Raw genomic sequence first — 17,054 nt, 5'->3', positions numbered from 1 at the left:
CTCTGACTTCGAAGGCCTAAGAATAGCAGATTCTCAGTAAATATTGGGTAGGTGAAAGGGTGAAGGAAAGAAGGTCTTAGTAAAATCTCTTCATGTATCCTGTTGCACTGGTAAATTTAACATGCTGTGAAGTTGAATGCCCTCACTAGTAACCAGGGGCCTCAGGCAAAGTCTCATCACTTCGCTGAATTTTAGTTTCCTCATTGGTAAAATGGGAACAGCACCTACTTGCAAGATTTTGAGAATTCAAACAGTAAATATTAGTTCAGCAAATACTAGCTGTTACTTTTTGTTTGTTTATAGCTACAAATAAGAGAGACACTATGAGAAGCACAAATGGAGCCACTGATTTTTTAGCTATAAAAAAACAGGCTGGGTGCAGTGGCTCATGCCTATAATCCCAGCACTTTGGGAGGCTGAGGCAGGCAGATCACTTGAGGCCAGGAGTACGAGACCAGCCTGGCCAACATAGCGAAACCCCATTTCCACTAAAAATACAAAAATTAGCCTGCAAAAATACAAAAATTAGTGTGGTGGCACATGCCTATAATCCCAGCTACTCAGGAGGCTGAGGCACAAGAATCGCTTGAACCCAGGAGGCAGAGGTTGCAGTGAGCAGAGATCACACCACTGCACTCCAGCCTGGGCGACAGAGACAGAGTGAGACTTCGTCTCAATTAATAACGATAATAATAACAACAGCAGCAGCAGCAGCTAACATTTACAGAACGCTTACCATGGACCATTGAACTCTGCTGCTAGGCCTGTGAAGTAAGTACAGCTGTTTTCATTTTGCAGCCGGAACACCAGGCTTGGAGGGGGAAAGTGTCTTGCTCCAGGTCCTGCAACCAGGTAGTCACAGAACTAGGGTTGGAAGCCACACTGTCTCACTCCAGGGTAGGGAGGCCTGAGACCAGGCTGTGCTCTGTCCCTGTATGAAGCCTTGGAGGTATCCCTTCACTTCCTCTGGGCCTCAGTTTCTTACCTGCTCAGGATCGAACCACACATCTCTGTGACGCTCTGAAATTTCTGGTGGTCCACAGGCCACATCAAGTGGGACAGTGAGTTGCTTCCAGGCCTCCTGGTGGTGGTGCTCTGGGTATTGACTGTGAACAGCACACCTCTGGGTGCCCCCTCCCTCGACATCAGGCAAAGTACCCTAGCCCTCTTCTCACCATCTCAGGCATCTTACTGTTCTGCACCTTAAAGGGGTAATGGACTGGGGCAGAAATGAATAGGGTAGAAAACAAGAAGGAACCCACTCCCTTGTCTGGTGCAGATCAATGTTGGATGCTGCAGAGAAGAGTATGAGGCTGACAGTCAGTGGATGTGGGTTTTGTTTCCCAGTTCCATCACATCACAGAATAGAAGGAAATGCAACACCGTGGGTGCCTTCAGCCCTGAGTTTTTGGTTACATGGGGTGTGAGCATTCATCTGTACAGTGGGGAGAGAAGGGTGTTGCAGGGATTTGCTCCCTTCCCCAAATCCTCCAGAGCTGTTGCCTTCTGCTGTGGAATTCCAAACATTTCTGATCAGATAAAGGTGGCTGAAAATACTTGGGACTTGTCTGGACTAGTTGGAGGCGGTGCTGGGGTGAAGAGGTCGAGGCCACAGGAGCTAGAGCGTGGAAAGATCTAGCCTTGCCCAGGAGTCTGCCTGGTCATAGATGTGCCTATTGCTCTCTTCCCCTGGAATCCTGCAGGTTCAGAGCAATGCCCAGCGGGCTTTGAGGTGGAGAAGGATCAGACTCCTTTGTGGCAACAAGTTCTCCTACTTCAGAATGTTGCTTCTCAATTTACACACTAATTACTGGATCTTTTGGATACCCCTGAGAGAGAGAACCCTGGTAGTCACTCATCTGTCTGCATGAGTTACTTTCATTCTCCTTATGCTGTAGCCCTAGACGGAGCCCTTTGAGATGATTCCCACTTCATTTGACAGTTGGGGAAAGGCCCATACTTTCCCAGAGTCTCAGGCAGGGGAAAGGACTCACCTGCAAATCAGCGATGGAACTGGGAAACAAAATCCACATCCACTGACTGTCAGCCCAGTACTCTCTTCCCCACAGCATCCAGCACTGATCTGCATCAGACAAGGGAGTCGCCATAGCTTTGGGTGGAGAGGAGGAAGGAGAAGCTGCTTTGGACTATGGAGCACTTGGGGTCAAAGACCTCAGAAAGAAGTCCTAGTTTTTGGAGATTGCTACCCCATTCCTGCCTGTTGCCTCAGCACAGTGCAAAAGATGCCTTTTCTAGAACTTTCCCATAAGCTTCCTGTCCCCTTTCCTTATCCTGAGAGAAAGTGTCTGGAGAATACTGGACACCTTGCATAATCACCTGCTATATTGGGGCCTCTTTCTAGTTTTGCCAGGCAGTGAGGAAAGGGATGAAGAGAGTGGGAACTGGCCTTTCTTCTCTTCCCTCCTCTCTGTCCAACACTCAGCCAGACTCTTCAGCACCTTCTCTGGACCCAGCACTGGGCAAGGCCTAGGGGACAGAGCCCATGGTCAGATGGGGGAAGAAGTGAGCAGCTAGGCTCCTTGAGAAAGTGACCTGTGGATTAAGACCTCAGAGATAAGTGGGACAGAGCTTGGTAGAAGCACCAGTGTGGGCAAAGGTCCTGAGTCTGAACAGAACATGGCATGTGAGGAATGAAGCAGCCTGGCCCTAGGTGAAGCTGAGAAAACCCTGCAGGCCCTTGTAAGCCATAGAGAAGGCTCCGAGACACAAGCTGAGCCATGGTCTACTAGTAAGAACAATAAACCAGACATTTACTCAAAGTTAACTATGTGCCATGCACAATTCTAAGACCTTTACATGTATTAATTTGAATCCTCATGGTATTCTTTTGAAATAAGGACATTTTGGGCCAGATGCAGTGGCTGACGCCTGTAATCTCAGCACTTTGGGGGGCCGAGGTGGGTGGATCATTTGAGGTCAGGAGTTTGAGACCAGCCTGACCAACATGGTGAAATCCAGTCTCTACTAAAAATACAAAAAAATTAGCCAGGCATGGTGGTGCATGCCTGTAGTCCCAATTACTTGGGAGGCTGAGGCAGAAGAATCACTTGAACGTGGGAGGCAGAGGTTGCAGTGAGCCAAGATTGTGCCACTGCACTCCAGCCTGGGCGACAGAGTGAGACTCTGTCTCAAAAAAAAAAAAAAAAATTAAATAAGGATTTTTTTAATCCGCATTTTACAGATGAGGTCAAAAGCAAAATATCTTAATCTAGTTTGCAAGACTTATTGGTTCTCTGCCTGCTCTGTGCTCTGGCAGCCCAGCTTGGTAGAGAAGTAGAAATTAATTGCCTTTATCCAGATAGCACTTCCATTTCACAAATGAGACAACTGATACTTGGAGGAGAGCAGGAGAGCAGCAGCGGAGAGAGAGCAGAACTAAGACCAGCCAGTCAAGGGAGACAGAGGGAGACGAGCATCAGCTCCCTGACAGGGAAGAGTTTTCCAACGGGGCTGTCCGAAGATGAAATGTCCCACCCAGGAAGGAGGGAGCTCTCCATAAGTGCATAAGGAGAGAATGCCCTCGAGATGACTACCAACTCCCATGGGTGTGGACCATCAGAATGAAACAGACCCACTGTGGGACTTCAGCACTCCACCCTTCTGAACCCTGTCTGTGAAATGGGGGTGTTCGTGGTGAGCTTGAGTATTACATGGAAGGTTGGATGGGCATGCTGTAAGGTCCCTGGAGTCTCCGACTCTGTTCCAAGGGTGAGTATTGGTTTTTCTCACCCTGGACACTGGGAGAAGAATGGAGGGCTGTGGCCATCTACTTACGAAAGAATAGGGAGTCACCAGGGTTGAAATGAGAGAGTTGAGATGACGGGAGGCATCGGAATCCCAGGGGATGAGCCTATATGAGCACATAGCAGCCACCCAGGAACAGTTAAATGTTTGGACTCTGGAGACAGACTGCCTGTATTCAAATCCCAACTCTACCACTTGTGGCCTCTGTGACCTTGGGAGGGTGATTTATCCTCTCTGCCTCTGTTTCCTCATCTGTAAGCTGGAGAGTAATAACAGCATGTACTCGGTGGGATTATTGTGAGGATTAAGCAAATTCTTTACACACGAAGCACTTAGCACCATGCCTGGTACTTAGTAAACATCAGCTGTTTTATCTCCATCGGTTCCAGGGAAGGAGGTTATGAGCCCCCAAATGAGCATCTCTGCCCCCAGTAAATGCTTTTCTGAATTCTCTCTCTTTGCCCCCAAGCCCATCACCCTGGTTCTGAGCCAGAGAGATGGAGAGCCCACACTCGCACTGCTAGGCCTGATAGCTTTCTCGATTCCCCAGCGGAGGTGTTATCTCCTCCCGGCACAACCGCTTCCTTTTCTGAGAAATGCAAGTGCATCTGTCAGGCACAGCTTCTTAGAACTAATGGTGGGGGAGGAGGTGGAGGAGGAGAGGCTGGCAGCTGAATTGAACAGGTCAGAGTTGGAGGAAGATAAACATGAAGTTTGTTGTGAGGATACCACCAAATATTCCCTATAGCCCAGATGGCTTGAGCCCTCTATGACACCCCCTGATCTCACCACTACTGCTAGGGAGGTCAAGGCAGGAGAAACTGAGGCTCAGAAGCCAAAAGGCTTGCTGTGGCACCCACCCATACCTGGGCCGGCTGGACTGAGGTGTTGACCCCAACACAGTCTTGCCACCCCTCTCTTTGCCCTGCCTCCACTGAGCTGCTTCTCCAAGTTGCCCACCTCCAGGCCTATGTTTCCGTGGGGGAGAGGAGAAAGGCCATGTTCTTCTCACATCTCGGGAGCCAACAGCTCCCCTGGGAAAACCAGAGGAAGTGGATTCCAACCACAAACCTCACTTCTTCCGAGTCTCCGCCTGCAACTCCCTGCCAAAAGAGTGATAAGGCCTCTCCGTTTGCCCTACCCCCTTCCTACCATCTCCCAGCGATCTTCTAGCAAGGCCATGTTTGTCTATTCAGCACACATTTATCAGCCTCTCCCTCAGGGAAACTGAGGCCAGGAGCATAAGGTGACTCTGCAGGTGACTCACAGCCTGCCAATGCAGGGATGTGAGAAGGACAGAACAAGGTACAGTTCTGGTGTCCCTGGCACTTTTCCTGGCTGCTAGTAGCCTCTTCCTCTTCTCCACCTACCTCTTTCCTGAAATAACCAAGCAGGAAGGAAGCAATGGGCCTGGGCCCTCCAGAGTCACCCAAGAGGAAGGAAGGGTTCGTCTGGCACAGGCATGCTTGTTCCTCACTGAAGCCAGGACGGAAGGGTTTCACTTTCCCTCCTGGTCTTCGTCACATCCTTTTCCTGTGGCACCAGTTCCCCTCAGCTGGCAGGAGCCAGTGCTTATTCATTCAGCTGATGGCCTCAGGCTACTTTACCCTCCTTGACAGACCCAGGGCCATGGCCCTGGCTCAGAATATGGGGTTTGCTGCCAAACATACTGGGGCTTAAAAATGGCTTCCCTTTTTTTTTTTTTTTTTTTGAGACGGGGTCTCATTCTGTCGCCCTGGCTGGAGTGCAGTGGTGCTGTCACAGCTCACTGCAGTTTCAACCTCCCAGCCTCAAGCAATTCTCCCACTTCAGTCTCCTGAGTAGCTGGGACTATAGGTGCATGCCAACACACTCAGCTAAATTTCTAAGATTTTTCTTATAGAGATGGGGGTCCCACCATATTGCCCTGGCTGGTCTCGAACTCCTGAGCTCAAACAGTCTGCCCACCTTGAACTCTCAAAGATGCTGGGATTACAGGTGTGAGCCATCACAGCTAGCTGCCACTTATCCACTTTAGCTAGGTCTCAGTATCTCTGAGCCTCAGGTTACCTGGACTTAGAATGAAGGCCTTCCTCAGCCACAGAAGTACATGGACCTGGCCCATGATTGTCCTTTAGAAACTGAGCAGAGTACTGCATCAACGTTAGGAGTAAAGGCACTGAACCAGATTGCTGGTGTAGGCATCCCAGTTAGGTCACCAGCTCACTACATGGCCTTGAGCAATTCACAGATCATCTGTGGGCCACATATCCATCAGCTATATGGGTTAATGGTAGTACCCACTGACAGAGTGTAGAGACAACTAATGAACTAATCTACAAAAAAACCAAGAAGAGTACCTTACAGAGTATGTGCTCAGGAAGTGTGCGCTGCTGCTGAAGTCACTAAGGAAGTCAGGTTTTCTGTGGGTAGAGATAGCAGGGTCTAAGATGGCAAGATTGGACATCAGAATGAGTGTGAATGAAGTACTATCTTGGATAGATTAAAAGAAAAAGAATGGTGTGAGGCCAGAACTCAGACAGATCCTACTCTTGCCACTTCCTAGATAGGGATCTTGGGTAAATTCTGGAGCCTCCATTTTCACATATGTAAAATGGGGCTATTGATAAATGTTATGAGGATCAAATGAAAGCATTCATTTGTTCTTCTAAAATAGATTTATTTAGAATGGCATCTGCTGTGTTCCAAGTATAGCACACCAGGTTCTAGAGATACAGGTGACAGAGCCACACACAGTCAAGTGGGGGAGACAGGACAAAAAATAATCTCTCAAGTGAATATGATGATTGTACATGTAATTGGGAAATATGGCCTAGTGTGCATAGACTGCTTTATAGCTCAGTGCCCAGCACAGGTGAAACACTGAAATGTTTGGTAATGGTCAGCTGTCATAATAATAGTTTTTTGTTTCTTTGCTTTTATCTTTTGTTTTTTTGAGACAGGGTCTCACTCTGTTGCCCAGGCTGGAGTACAGTGGCCCCAAACATGATTCAATGCAGCCCTGACCTCCCAGGCTCAAAGATCCTCCTCAGCATCCTGAGTTGCTGAGACCATAGATGCATACCACCACACCCAGCTAATTTTTTTTTTTTTTTTAATTTTTTTGTAGAGACAGGGTCCTCCTGTGTTGCCCAGGCTGGTCTCAGACTCCTGGGCTCAAGCAATCCTCCTGCCTCAGCTCCTAAAGTATTTTATTACTGTTAACAAGTAAGGGCTGGGTGCGGTGGCTCATGTCTTTAATCCTAGCACTTTGGGAGGCCAAGGAAGGTGGATCACCTGAGGTCAGGAGTTCCAGACCAGCCTGGCCAACATAGTGGAACCCCACCTCTACTAAAATTACAAAAAATTAGCCAGGTGTGGTGGCGGGTGCCTGTAATCCCAGGCAACTTGGGAGACTAAGGCAGAAGAATTGCTTGAACCTGGGAGGCTGAGGTTGCAGTGAGCCAAGATCATGCCACTGCACTCCAGCCTGGGCAACAGAGTGAGAGGCTATCTCAAAAAAAAAAAAAAAAAAAAAGCAAGGACACCATGGACCAGAGAGGTGAAGTAACCTGCTCAAAGTCACACTACTTGGAAGAAGTGGGAAGGGTGGGCACAGTTGCTCATGCCTATAATCCCAGTACTTTGGAAGACCAAGGTAGGAGGATGAGGCCAGGAGTTTGAAACCACCCTGGGCAATGTAGTGAGACTCCATCTCTCCAAAAATTTACAAGAAAAAAAAAAAGAAGGAAATGTGGGCAGTGAAGCCAGGATGGGAACTAAAAGATCAGATTCAAGTAGGGACTATACTTCAGCCTCTGGCTGGTCCTCTGGCACTTGGGCCCCTTTCCTCAGGGCATCATGCCAACCTTTTCACCTGACTTCTACAGGGTCACAGGCACCTACAAGGTGACCTGCATCGTTCAGTTGGCTGCCTCTGGGCAGAGATCTAGCTGAAGTCAGTCTGTGCCTGTCTGAGTAGGTCCTGGGCCAGACTTGGTCCCTGCCTGCACTGAGCCCCCAGACTGTTGGGGGAAACCAGGCACACAGAGGCCATCAACCCAGGAACACCCCTCCTCTCCCTCCCACCTCAGGGCCTTTGCACTTATTACCTCTGCTAAAACAGGCTTTTTTTTTTTTTTGAGACAGGGTTTTGCTCTTGTTGCCCAGACTGGAGTACAATAATGTGATCTTGGCTCACTGCAACCTCCATCTCCTGGGTTCAAGCAGTCCTCCTGCCTCAGCCTCCCAGGTAGCTGGGATTACAGATGCCTGCCACCACACCCAGCTAATTTTGTATTTTTGGTAGAGACAGGGTTTCACCATGTTGGTCAGGCTGGTCTTGAACTCCTGACCTCAGGTGATCTGCCTGCCTCGGCCTCCCAAAGTGCTGGGATTACAGGTATGAGTCATTGTGCCCGGCTCCCCCAGATATTCTCTGTCACCTCCCCAGGACTTAAAACCCTATCATCTCTAAAATTATCTTTTTTTTTTCTTGTTATCCTCTCTGCTTCCCAGTAAGACAGGGTTTCTCAACCTTTTTTTTTTATCATCCACCCCTGCAAGGAGTCTTTTTCAGATTTTTTTGTCCTAATTGCCCTCCCATGAAATTTGAATACCTCAGCTATACTATACTATATATAGTATATATAGATATAGATATGTATAATATATAATATATAGTATATGTAAAGTATATATATAGTATATACAGTACTATATATACTACATATTGTGTGTATATATATGGTATATATAGTATAGTATAGCTGAGGTATTCAAATTTCATGGGAGGGCAATACCTATATACTATATATACTATATACTCTATATCTCCTTATGTGCTGTGGCCCTGTGGAGAGCCACAAATCACTGTAATGTCTAAGAATGCTTCACTTCACGCCATTGGAGGTGATCTTACCACCATTGAGAATGGACTAGAACATAAGCTCCATGGAAGCCTTGCTCACGGCTGAGTCTCCAATGCCAGCCTCAGTGCATACCCCTGGTATAAACAGAAGTCCAAGGAGTCTGGGAACAGAAAGGAGACATTCATCCCAGAGGTTGGGGAGGGATGAGCAGGGAAGAGGGGACTCCAAAATGGAGTCCTATAGGCTTAGTAGGGGTTGGTTAACTGAGGAAGATATGGAGTGACCAGTTAAAGGACAGTGTTGGCAAAGGCACCAGGGCCTGAAGCACTCAGGAGTATGTAGTGTGGGGCCATTCCAAGTGGGTGGCCAGGACTGTTGAAGCCTCTTGAAGTATTGGAAGAAGGACCTTGAAAGTGATACTAGCCTGGGCATCTCCTAGGGGCCAAGTCAGGAGACCCAGTTTTCTAGTGTAGGCTCTACTACAAACCAGCAGTGGAAACGTAGAATGGGCAGGTGGGTTGGCCTTGCTGACTTCATGGGCCTACCTGGCTAGGAATCCATGACTCTCCTGTGGAGGTCATTAGCCATTGCCTGTCGCCAGTGGCCCTACAAACCCCCACATGGAAGTCAGCTACCCCACTTTCCTCTTAACTCAAGCAGAGGATGCAGACAGGCCCTTGGGCCTGGGTCTCCTAGAAACCTTTGTGACATCAGAGACCTCCCTACAACCCACTCTTAAACCTCATCCCCTGCCTACCATGCCAGCCTGGTTAAAACCAGTGGGAGCCACCCAAGGTGCAGTAGGGGCTTATCTCTGCTTTTCCAGACCAGGGCTGCTCTGCAATCCTGTTTATTTATCCAGAGCAGCCGCCTGCTGAGAAAATGGCTCTGTTTATTTCCAAGTGTGTCGTGTGAACCATGGGCTAAATATACCCACGCCACCGCCTCTCCAGCACCCGCCCTGGAACAGCACGCCCCATTTTGCTCATGCTGTCTCCGCAAAAGCAATCCTTAGAATCCACACCCCTTGGAAATACTACTCCCCTTCCCCAGGAAAAGAAGCTGAAATGGAAATGAAGGTTGTCATGACCAGGAACACATGAGTGGAAGCTGGGGCAGGTGAAATGAGAATGTTTCTATGGCACTGAAATGAGAATGTTCCCTCCACCCAGGAATGACTGTTTCTGGACAGTGAATGCTTTGTGCCCTTGTGGGGACAGCGCCTGTTTACTCCAACCCAGCCCCAGAGCTGAAAATTTCCTGTGGCTGCCAGCCGTCTACTTCAGGAAAGTTCCCATCAAGGGAGCCAGGCCTCTCCCATTTTGGCTGCAACCCCAGTGTCCCTGGTTTCTTGAGAGACATTTGGCCTCTTGGGATAACCAGGGCCTTCTCCTATGCTCTTCATAGTGTGGAACTCTCCCCCATCACAGATAAGCCTATTTTGTGACTCCACCTGGGTGTACTTGGGAGCAACAAAATCAAACCTCCTGTAAGAATATTTTTGTCTGCCAAGACCCGCAGAGGCTAGCTAGGATGGAGAGGGAGACAGGGAAGCATAGCCACGGCCCTAGTGCCCTCCTTTCCCCAGATCCTCCACCTCAACCCTGCTCCCACATTCCTTCTCCTGGAAATCCATCCTTTCAGCACTACTGACAGGACAGGTCCCTCCAGCCTCCAACTTCAGGGAAGTGTCCTGACATAGCAGCCCTCCCTTTGAAGCTAGGCAGTCTTGCAGTTTGATCCCGACTCTGCTATCTGTTTGCTGAGTGTTCCCTGCTTTAAATATCAGGCATCTTATTTGTGAAATGTGGCTCAAATCTACATCTCAGGATTCTGATGAAGATGAAATGGGATACCAATGCCTGACATGTAGTAGACATGCAATACATTTGTTAACTCATGTATTCTCATGTATTTACAGAGCAAGACACTGTTCTGAGCACTGGGTGTATAGGAACGAGACAGGACCTCTGCCCTCATCAAGACACATCTAGTATAGGCCGAGGGCAGTGGCTCACGCCTATAATCCCAGCACTTTGGGGCTGAAGAGGGCAGATCACTTGAGGTCAGGAGTTTGAGACCAGCCTGGTTAACATGGTGAAACCCCATCTCTACTAAAAATACAAAAATTAGCTAGGCGTGGTGGCAGGCGCTACTCGGGGGGCTGAGGCAGGAGAATGGCTTGAACCCGGGAGGCGGAGGTTGCAGTGAGCCAAGATTGCACCACTGCACTCCAGCCTAGGTGACAGAGCAAGTCTTCGTCTAAAAAAAAAAAAAGACACATCTAGTATGGAAGACACATCACAACAAAAACAAAGTACAGAATCTAGTTATGAGAAGTACAGCTTAATGGGGGAAAAATGTGGTGAGGTGGTGAGGCCGGGCATGGTGGCTCACGCCTGTAATCTCAGCACTTGGGAGGCTGAGGCAGAAGGATCCCTTGAGCCCAGGAGTTTGAGACCAGCCTAGGCAACAAAGTGAGACCCTGTCTCTACAAAAAATTTAGAAATATTAGCCAGGCATGGTGGTGTGTGCCTGTAGTGTGGCAGCTACTCAGGAGGCTGGGGCAGGAGGATCATCTGAGCCCAGGAGGTCAAGGCTGCAGTGAGCCATGATTGCGCCACTACAGTCTAACCTGAGTAACAGAGTGAGACACTGTCACAAAAATTTAAAAATTAAAAAATAAAGCACTGAGAAGAAAAGCTGGCATGGTGGTCATTCTGTGTAGTGTAGTTCCTGTAATCAGGAGGCTGAGGCAGGAAGATTGCTTGAGTCCAGGAGTTCAAAGTCAGTCTGGGCACATCTTTTAAAAACAAGAAAAAAAAAATGGTGGCTGGGCATGGTGGCTCATGCCTGTAATCCCAGCACTTTGGGAGGCCGAGGTGAGCAGATCACCTGAGGTCAGGAGTTTGAAACCAGCCTGACCCAACGTGGAGAAACCCCGTCTCTACTAAAAATACAAAATTAGCCAGGTGTGGTGGCACGCGCCTGTAATCCCAGCTACTTGGGAGGCTGAGGCAGGAGAATCGCTTGAACCTGGGAGGCGGAGGTTGCAGTGAGCTGAGATCGCGCCATTGTACTCCAGCCTGGGCAACAAGGGTAAAACTCTGTCTCCAAAAAAAAAAAAAAAAAGGCCAGATATGGTGGCTCGTGCCTGTAATCCCAGCACTTTGGGAGGCCGTGGGCGGATCACTTGAGGTCAGGAGTTTGAGACCAGCCTGGCCAATATGGCAAAACCTTATCTCTACTAAAAATATAAAAATTAGCTGGGCATGGTGGCACATGTCTGTAATCCCAGCTACTCAGGAGAATCGCTTGTACCCAGGAAGCAAAGGTTGCTGTGAGCCCAGTTTGTGCCACTGCACTCCAGCCTGGGGGACAGAATAAAACTGTGTCTCAAAAAAAAAAAAAACTGAGAAGAAAAATCAAGGAAGGTAAGGGGACAGGCAGAGAGAGACGGGGGTGGTGTACTGTTTTAGACAAGGCAGTCAGGGAAGGCCTCCCCTAGGAGGTGACATTTGAGGGGAGTCATGGTTGTGAAATGAGGGAGTGAGGCAGGCGACGACCTGGGGTCAGGTGCTCCAGGCAAGCAGGAACAGCAGACTCCTGCGGCAGGAGACGTTGGAGGAACAGCAAGGAGGCCAGTGGGACTGGAGTGAAGTTCAGGGGACAGGGGTGGGGAGGAGGCCAGAAAGTGTTGGAGCCAGATCCCACTAGACCTTGCTGGCCAGAGTAAGGAGTGGGGACTTTATTTCAGGTGTGATGGAAGCCCTGGGAAGGTTGAGAACTTGGAGTGACTGAATGGAGTGTGCTTCTGCAAGGGCTGAGATTCATGGGTCACTGCTCTCTACTGCCTTAATGTTGAGGATTCCTTCAGTCAAATTAGCAGCTCAGTGCACATGGCATTTTGCTAGGTACCAGGGATACAAAAATAAATGATGCTGCCCTTCTAAGTGCAGGAGAATGCTGCTGGAGGGCTTCCAGTGTTCTTAGAAAGCTCTGTGTGGAGCATGGACTGAGGGGGTTGTCAAGACTGGAAGTGGGCCACGGCAGGGGTCACAAGTGAGCAAATTGATAGGTGAGACCTGAGGCCAACTGGAGATGGCATGCCTGTCTTGAGGGAGCAGCCACTCGGCCATTTGGGACTGGTTGGAAATGTAGGCCCAGTGTGGCAGAGGTCTTGGTAGAGAGGCAAGAACCAGCCAGTAACTCATTCATTTTACACACACACACACACACACACACACACACGGTACTATGGTACTTCCTTTTTTTTTTTTGAACGGAGTCTCTGTCACCCAGACTGGAGTGCTGTGGTGCGATTTCTGCTCACTGCAACCTCCGTCTCCCGGGTTCAAACAATTCTCGTGCCTCAGCCTCCTGAGTAACTGGGATTACAGGTGCGTGCCACCACACCCGGCTAATTTTTGTATTTTTAGTAGAGACAGGGTTTCACCATGTTGGCCAGGCTGGTCTCGAACTCCTGACCTCAGGCAATCCACCCACCTCAGCCTCCCAAAGTGCTGGGATTATAGGCATGAGCCACCGCACCCAGCCTGGAACTTACTTCTTTCTTACATATTTCTAGGTGCCAGATGCCAGTTTTAGATTCTGGCTCCACCACTGACACAGCTGGGTGACCTTGATCCAGTCCCTGGACCCTCAGAGGCACAGCTTCTTGGCCTGTAAATGGGGAGAGACAGCCTGCATTGCAGAATTGTTGGGAGGATTAAAGGACAAATTGGGTACTACGCTTACTCATAAAAGTTATGTTCTAAGCGTCCTTCTCCCTGCCCCACAGGCTGCTGCACCCTGGGCTGGGTAATTTAGCCCACAGCTCCTCCTTCCCCCTGTCATGTGCTTCCCTTCTGACTTAGATTCAGGGCAGAGGGCTGTTGATCACAACCTCCTGGGCCCAGAGTCACACCCCCTGCAGTGGAGGATGTCCGGGACAAGGCCTCACAGACCCCGTGATGGAGGCCTGTCAGTCCTGCATCATTGTTACCCTCTCTCCTCTGCCCTGCTCTTCTTGTCACCAACCTGCCCACCAGAGGCTCCCTCCAGAGGGAGGAGCCTCTGGCTGAAGTCCCAGGACCCATTCTACCCCTGAATTGGCCTCAAATGACCCTGGGGATTTAGCCCTGGGCTTCCTTATCCCTCCCTCTGGTGCAGCAGTAGAAAATCTGAGGCCTAGTGGCTCCACACTCCACACTACCCTCAGACTCAACTCTAGGCTCCTTGCGGCTTCCAGGCCACGTATGGTCTGGCTCTTGCTCACCCCTGCACCATCATCTCCCCCATGCCCTCCTCTCCTGCACTCTGCTCCAGCCACCTGGCTTCCATCAGTTCCCTGACCCTGCCCATCTCGTTCCCACCTTGGATTCTGGAGTAAGTGCTACTTCTTGACTTACCTCAGACAGGGCACTTTCCTCCTCTCTACCTGTTTCTCAGCAGTAACATGGTTTGATTATCACCAATGGAGGGTCAAGAAAGAGGACCACCCTTAGCCCTTTACCTGGCCCAGAGTGGGCACAGATGGCTACAGTTTTTCACATCACCAAGGCCATAGCATGCAGATGGCCCCTTTCCCCACCCACCTACATCACTCTCTGAGGACTAAAACTGCACCTTCCTTCTCTCTCCCTGCAGGATACTTTTGTGGAACTCTATGGGAACAATGCAGCAGCCGAGAGCCGAAAGGGCCAGGAACGCTTCAACCGCTGGTTCCTGACGGGCATGACTGTGGCCGGCGTGGTTCTGCTGGGCTCACTCTTCAGTCGGAAATGACCAGACACTGACCATCCACTCTACCCTCCCACCCCCTTCTCTGCTCCACCACATCCTCCGTCCAGCCGCCATTGCCACCAGGAGAACCACTACATGCAGCCCATGCCCACCTGCCCATCACAGGGTTGGGCCCAGATCTGGTCCCTTGCAGCTAGTTTTCTAGAATTTATCACACTTCTGTGAGACCCCCACACCTCAGTTCCCTTGGCCTCAGAATTCACAAAATTTCCACAAAATCTGTCCAAAGGAGGCTGGCAGGTATGGAAGGGTTTGTGGCTGGGGGCAGGAGGGCCCTACCTGATTGGTGCAACCCTTACCCCTTAGCCTCCCTGAAAATGTTTTTCTGCCAGGGAGCTTGAAAGTTTTCAGAACCTCTTCCCCAGAAAGGAGACTAGATTGCCTTTGTTTTGATGTTTGTGGCCTCAGAATTGATCATTTTCCCCCCACTCTCCCCACACTAACCTGGGTTCCCTTTCCTTCCATCCCTACCCCCTAAGAGCCATTTAGGGGCCACTTTTGACTAGGGATTCAGGCTGCTTGGGATAAAGATGCAAGGACCAGGACTCCCTCCTCACCTCTGGACTGGCTAGAGTCCTCACTCCCAGTCCAAATGTCCTCCAGAAGCCTCTGGCTAGAGGCCAGCCCCACCCAGGAGGGAGGGGGCTATAGCTACAGGAAGCACCCCATGCCAAAGCTAGGGTGGCCCTTGCAGTTCAGCACCACCCTAGTCCCTTCCCCTCCCTGGCTCCCATGACCATACTGAGGGACCAACTGGGCCCAAGACAGATGCCCCAGAGCTGTTTATGGCCTCAGCTGCCTCACTTCCTACAAGAGCAGCCTGTGGCATCTTTGCCTTGGGCTGCTCCTCATGGTGGGTTCAGGGGACTCAGCCCTGAGGTGAAAGGGAGCTATCAGGAACAGCTATGGGAGCCCCAGGGTCTTCCCTACCTCAGGCAGGAAGGGCAGGAAGGAGAGCCTGCTGCATGGGGTGGGGTAGGGCTGACTAGAAGGGCCAGTCCTGCCTGGCCAGGCAGATCTGTGCCCCATGCCTGTCCAGCCTGGGCAGCCAGGCTGCCAAGGCCAGAGTGGCCTGGCCAGGAGCTCTTCAGGCCTCCCTCTCTCTTCTGCTCCACCCTTGGCCTGTCTCATCCCCAGGGGTCCCAGCCACCCCGGGCTCTCTGCTGTACATATTTGAGACTAGTTTTTATTCCTTGTGAAGATGATATACTATTTTTGTTAAGCGTGTCTGTATTTATGTGTGAGGAGCTGCTGGCTTGCAGTGCGCGTGCACGTGGAGAGCTGGTGCCCGGAGATTGGACGGCCTGATGCTCCCTCCCCTGCCCTGGTCCAGGGAAGCTGGCCGAGGGTCCTGGCTCCTGAGGGGCATCTGCCCCTCCCCCAACCCCCACCCCACACTTGTTCCAGCTCTTTGAAATAGTCTGTGTGAAGGTGAAAGTGCAGTTCAGTAATAAACTGTGTTTACTCAGTGAACAAAGAGCCTGGGCTCTTGTGTGCTCCGGGATGGGGAAAGGAGGGGCCGCTGGAGAGCTGGGTACTGGTCCTGGCTCTGCTGCCCTCAGGGGAGGGCCTTGGACAAGTCCTTCCTTCCTTCTGGGCCTGAATTTATCCACCTGTACGGTGACAGGGTTTTACTGGGTACATGCTGTGTGCTGGGCACTGGGGCTGCATGTGAACAGGACAGACACAGTCTCTGCCCTCAGGAGCTGACATTCTAGTGGGAGACACAGCCACTTGGCAAGTGTTTACTGAGCTCTGCTCTACACAGACATAGTCCTGGGCACTGGGGACTTCTTCAAACAAAACCTTTGCCTTTACAAGCATTCATTCTAGTGGAAGAGACAGACATAAGCACGGCTCTAGCTGCTGTAGGGTGTGGGGGAAAGGTGTGATGCCTTTCCTCACCCATCAGAAGGTTCTGTGACTGACATTCCTATAACAAAAGAAAAACAAAGTGGCAGTTCACACCCTGTAATCTCAATACTTTGCGGGTGGGGGATGGGTTGCTTAAGGTCAGGAGTTCAAGATCAGCCTGGGCAACAAAGTGAGACCCTGTCTCTACAAAAAAATTTTTAAATTAGCCAACCCAGCAAGGCCAGTCCAGATTCTTCTTGGCCTCTGTGTAGCATTCCTTCCTCTCCTGTACAGGAGACAAGACATAGGTCAGAGTATTTATTTGTTTTTTAAGAGGGTCTTGCCCCGTCACCCAGGCTGGAATGCAGTAGTGTGATAGATAACTGCAGCTTCAAATTCCTGGGCTCAAGTGATCCTCCTGCCTCAGTCTCTTGAGCAGCTGAAATTACATGTGAGTGCCACCAAGCCTGGCTAATTTTCAAATTTTTTTTTGTAGAGATGGGGATCTTGTTATGTTGCCCAGGCTGGTCTCGAACACCTAGCCTCCAGTGATCCCCATGCCCAGCCGAGAATTTGTGGCCAGCTTCTACACAGTAGAGCAGAGGAAGGTTACAGTAATATTTCTGTGTTTTAGCGGATCACGAGGTCAGGAGATCAAGACCATCCTGGCAAACACAGTGAAACCCCGTCTCTACTAAAAATACAAAAAAAAATTAGCCGGGCGTGGTGGTGGGCGCCTGTAGTCCCAGCTACTCGGGAGGCTGAGGCAGGAGAATGGCG

The 17,054-nt window shown here is 50.2% G+C and overlaps 1 protein-coding gene and 2 long non-coding RNA genes across 16 annotated transcripts in view, besides 9 other annotated features; 1 reads left to right on the top strand and 2 right to left on the bottom strand.

Annotated features, from left to right (window-relative positions):
* BCL2L1-AS1 (BCL2L1 antisense RNA 1) overlaps nucleotides 1-5,243 on the bottom strand; it is a 41,737-nt gene extending 36,494 nt beyond the window's left edge. The window contains exons 1-3 of one of the 4 annotated variants that reach the window (NR_187575.1): nucleotides 5,136-5,243; nucleotides 1,995-2,083; nucleotides 986-1,106 (exon numbers count right to left, since the gene is read on the bottom strand). This is a non-coding gene — a long non-coding RNA (BCL2L1 antisense RNA 1). The remainder of the gene's footprint in view (nucleotides 1-985; nucleotides 1,107-1,994; nucleotides 2,084-5,135) is intronic. The other 3 variants (NR_187576.1, NR_187574.1, NR_187573.1) reach the window with 3 other exon arrangements.
* Nucleotides 1-15,899, top strand: part of BCL2L1 (BCL2 like 1) — a 59,512-nt gene extending 43,613 nt beyond the window's left edge. For 10 of the 11 annotated variants that reach the window (NM_001317920.2, NM_001322239.2, NM_001317921.2 and 7 more), the window contains exon 3: nucleotides 14,265-15,893. In NM_001317920.2, the coding sequence (NP_001304849.1) occupies nucleotides 14,265-14,402 (138 nt within the window). In that variant the 3' untranslated portion in view covers nucleotides 14,403-15,893. Of the gene's footprint in view, nucleotides 1-13,203; nucleotides 13,361-14,264 lie in introns of all 11 variants that reach the window. The other variant, NR_134257.1, reaches the window with a different exon arrangement.
* Nucleotides 3,272-6,616: an enhancer, noted in NCBI's record as "VISTA enhancer hs2050". NCBI's record gives its function as "enhancer in: blood vessels[5/5]" and the evidence as "EXISTENCE:transgenic organism evidence [ECO:0001131][PMID:17130149]".
* Nucleotides 4,260-4,404: an enhancer, noted in NCBI's record as "145 bp enhancer 16 fragment used in the MPRA reporter construct; PK_construct_4313". NCBI's record gives its function as "activates an SV40 promoter by MPRA in K562 cells {active_cell/tissue: K562}" and the evidence as "EXISTENCE:reporter gene assay evidence [ECO:0000049][PMID:23512712]".
* Nucleotides 4,323-4,340: a transcriptional cis regulatory region, noted in NCBI's record as "GATA motif; MPRA enhancer 16 activity is reduced when this motif is scrambled". NCBI's record gives its function as "necessary for full MPRA enhancer 16 activity {active_cell/tissue: K562}" and the evidence as "EXISTENCE:site-directed mutagenesis evidence [ECO:0005528][PMID:23512712]".
* Nucleotides 4,641-4,740: an enhancer, noted in NCBI's record as "active region_17689". NCBI's record gives its function as "activates an Ori minimal core promoter by ATAC-STARR-seq in GM12878 lymphoblastoid cells {active_cell/tissue: GM12878}" and the evidence as "EXISTENCE:reporter gene assay evidence [ECO:0000049][PMID:35858748]".
* Nucleotides 4,711-5,005: an enhancer, noted in NCBI's record as "tiled region #12412; K562 Activating DNase matched - State 5:Enh". NCBI's record gives its function as "activates a minimal TATA promoter and a strong SV40 promoter by Sharpr-MPRA in K562 cells {active_cell/tissue: K562}" and the evidence as "EXISTENCE:reporter gene assay evidence [ECO:0000049][PMID:27701403]".
* Nucleotides 5,338-5,387: an enhancer, noted in NCBI's record as "active region_17688". NCBI's record gives its function as "activates an Ori minimal core promoter by ATAC-STARR-seq in GM12878 lymphoblastoid cells {active_cell/tissue: GM12878}" and the evidence as "EXISTENCE:reporter gene assay evidence [ECO:0000049][PMID:35858748]".
* Nucleotides 5,408-5,457: an enhancer, noted in NCBI's record as "active region_17687". NCBI's record gives its function as "activates an Ori minimal core promoter by ATAC-STARR-seq in GM12878 lymphoblastoid cells {active_cell/tissue: GM12878}" and the evidence as "EXISTENCE:reporter gene assay evidence [ECO:0000049][PMID:35858748]".
* LOC124904883 (uncharacterized) lies at nucleotides 6,104-9,246 on the bottom strand. Its single transcript, XR_007067559.1, has 3 exons — nucleotides 9,161-9,246; nucleotides 8,666-8,775; nucleotides 6,104-6,167 (listed from the first exon to the last, which is right to left on the bottom strand). It is a non-coding gene; the product is annotated as an uncharacterized LOC124904883 (long non-coding RNA).
* Nucleotides 15,770-16,600: an enhancer, noted in NCBI's record as "NANOG-H3K4me1 hESC enhancer chr20:30251554-30252384 (GRCh37/hg19 assembly coordinates)". NCBI's record gives its function as "activates a minimal SCP1, AML or CMV promoter by ChIP-STARR-seq in naive H9 embryonic stem cells {active_cell/tissue: H9 hESC(naive)}" and the evidence as "EXISTENCE:reporter gene assay evidence [ECO:0000049][PMID:30033119]".
* Nucleotides 16,231-16,525: an enhancer, noted in NCBI's record as "tiled region #4727; K562 Activating DNase matched - State 5:Enh". NCBI's record gives its function as "activates a minimal TATA promoter and a strong SV40 promoter by Sharpr-MPRA in K562 cells {active_cell/tissue: K562}" and the evidence as "EXISTENCE:reporter gene assay evidence [ECO:0000049][PMID:27701403]".

The sequence above is a fragment of the Homo sapiens genome, chromosome 20 (assembly GCF_000001405.40).
Source record: "Homo sapiens chromosome 20, GRCh38.p14 Primary Assembly".
Classification (NCBI taxonomy): domain Eukaryota; kingdom Metazoa; phylum Chordata; class Mammalia; order Primates; family Hominidae; genus Homo; species Homo sapiens.
This window is presented reverse-complemented; position numbering and strand designations above follow the sequence as displayed.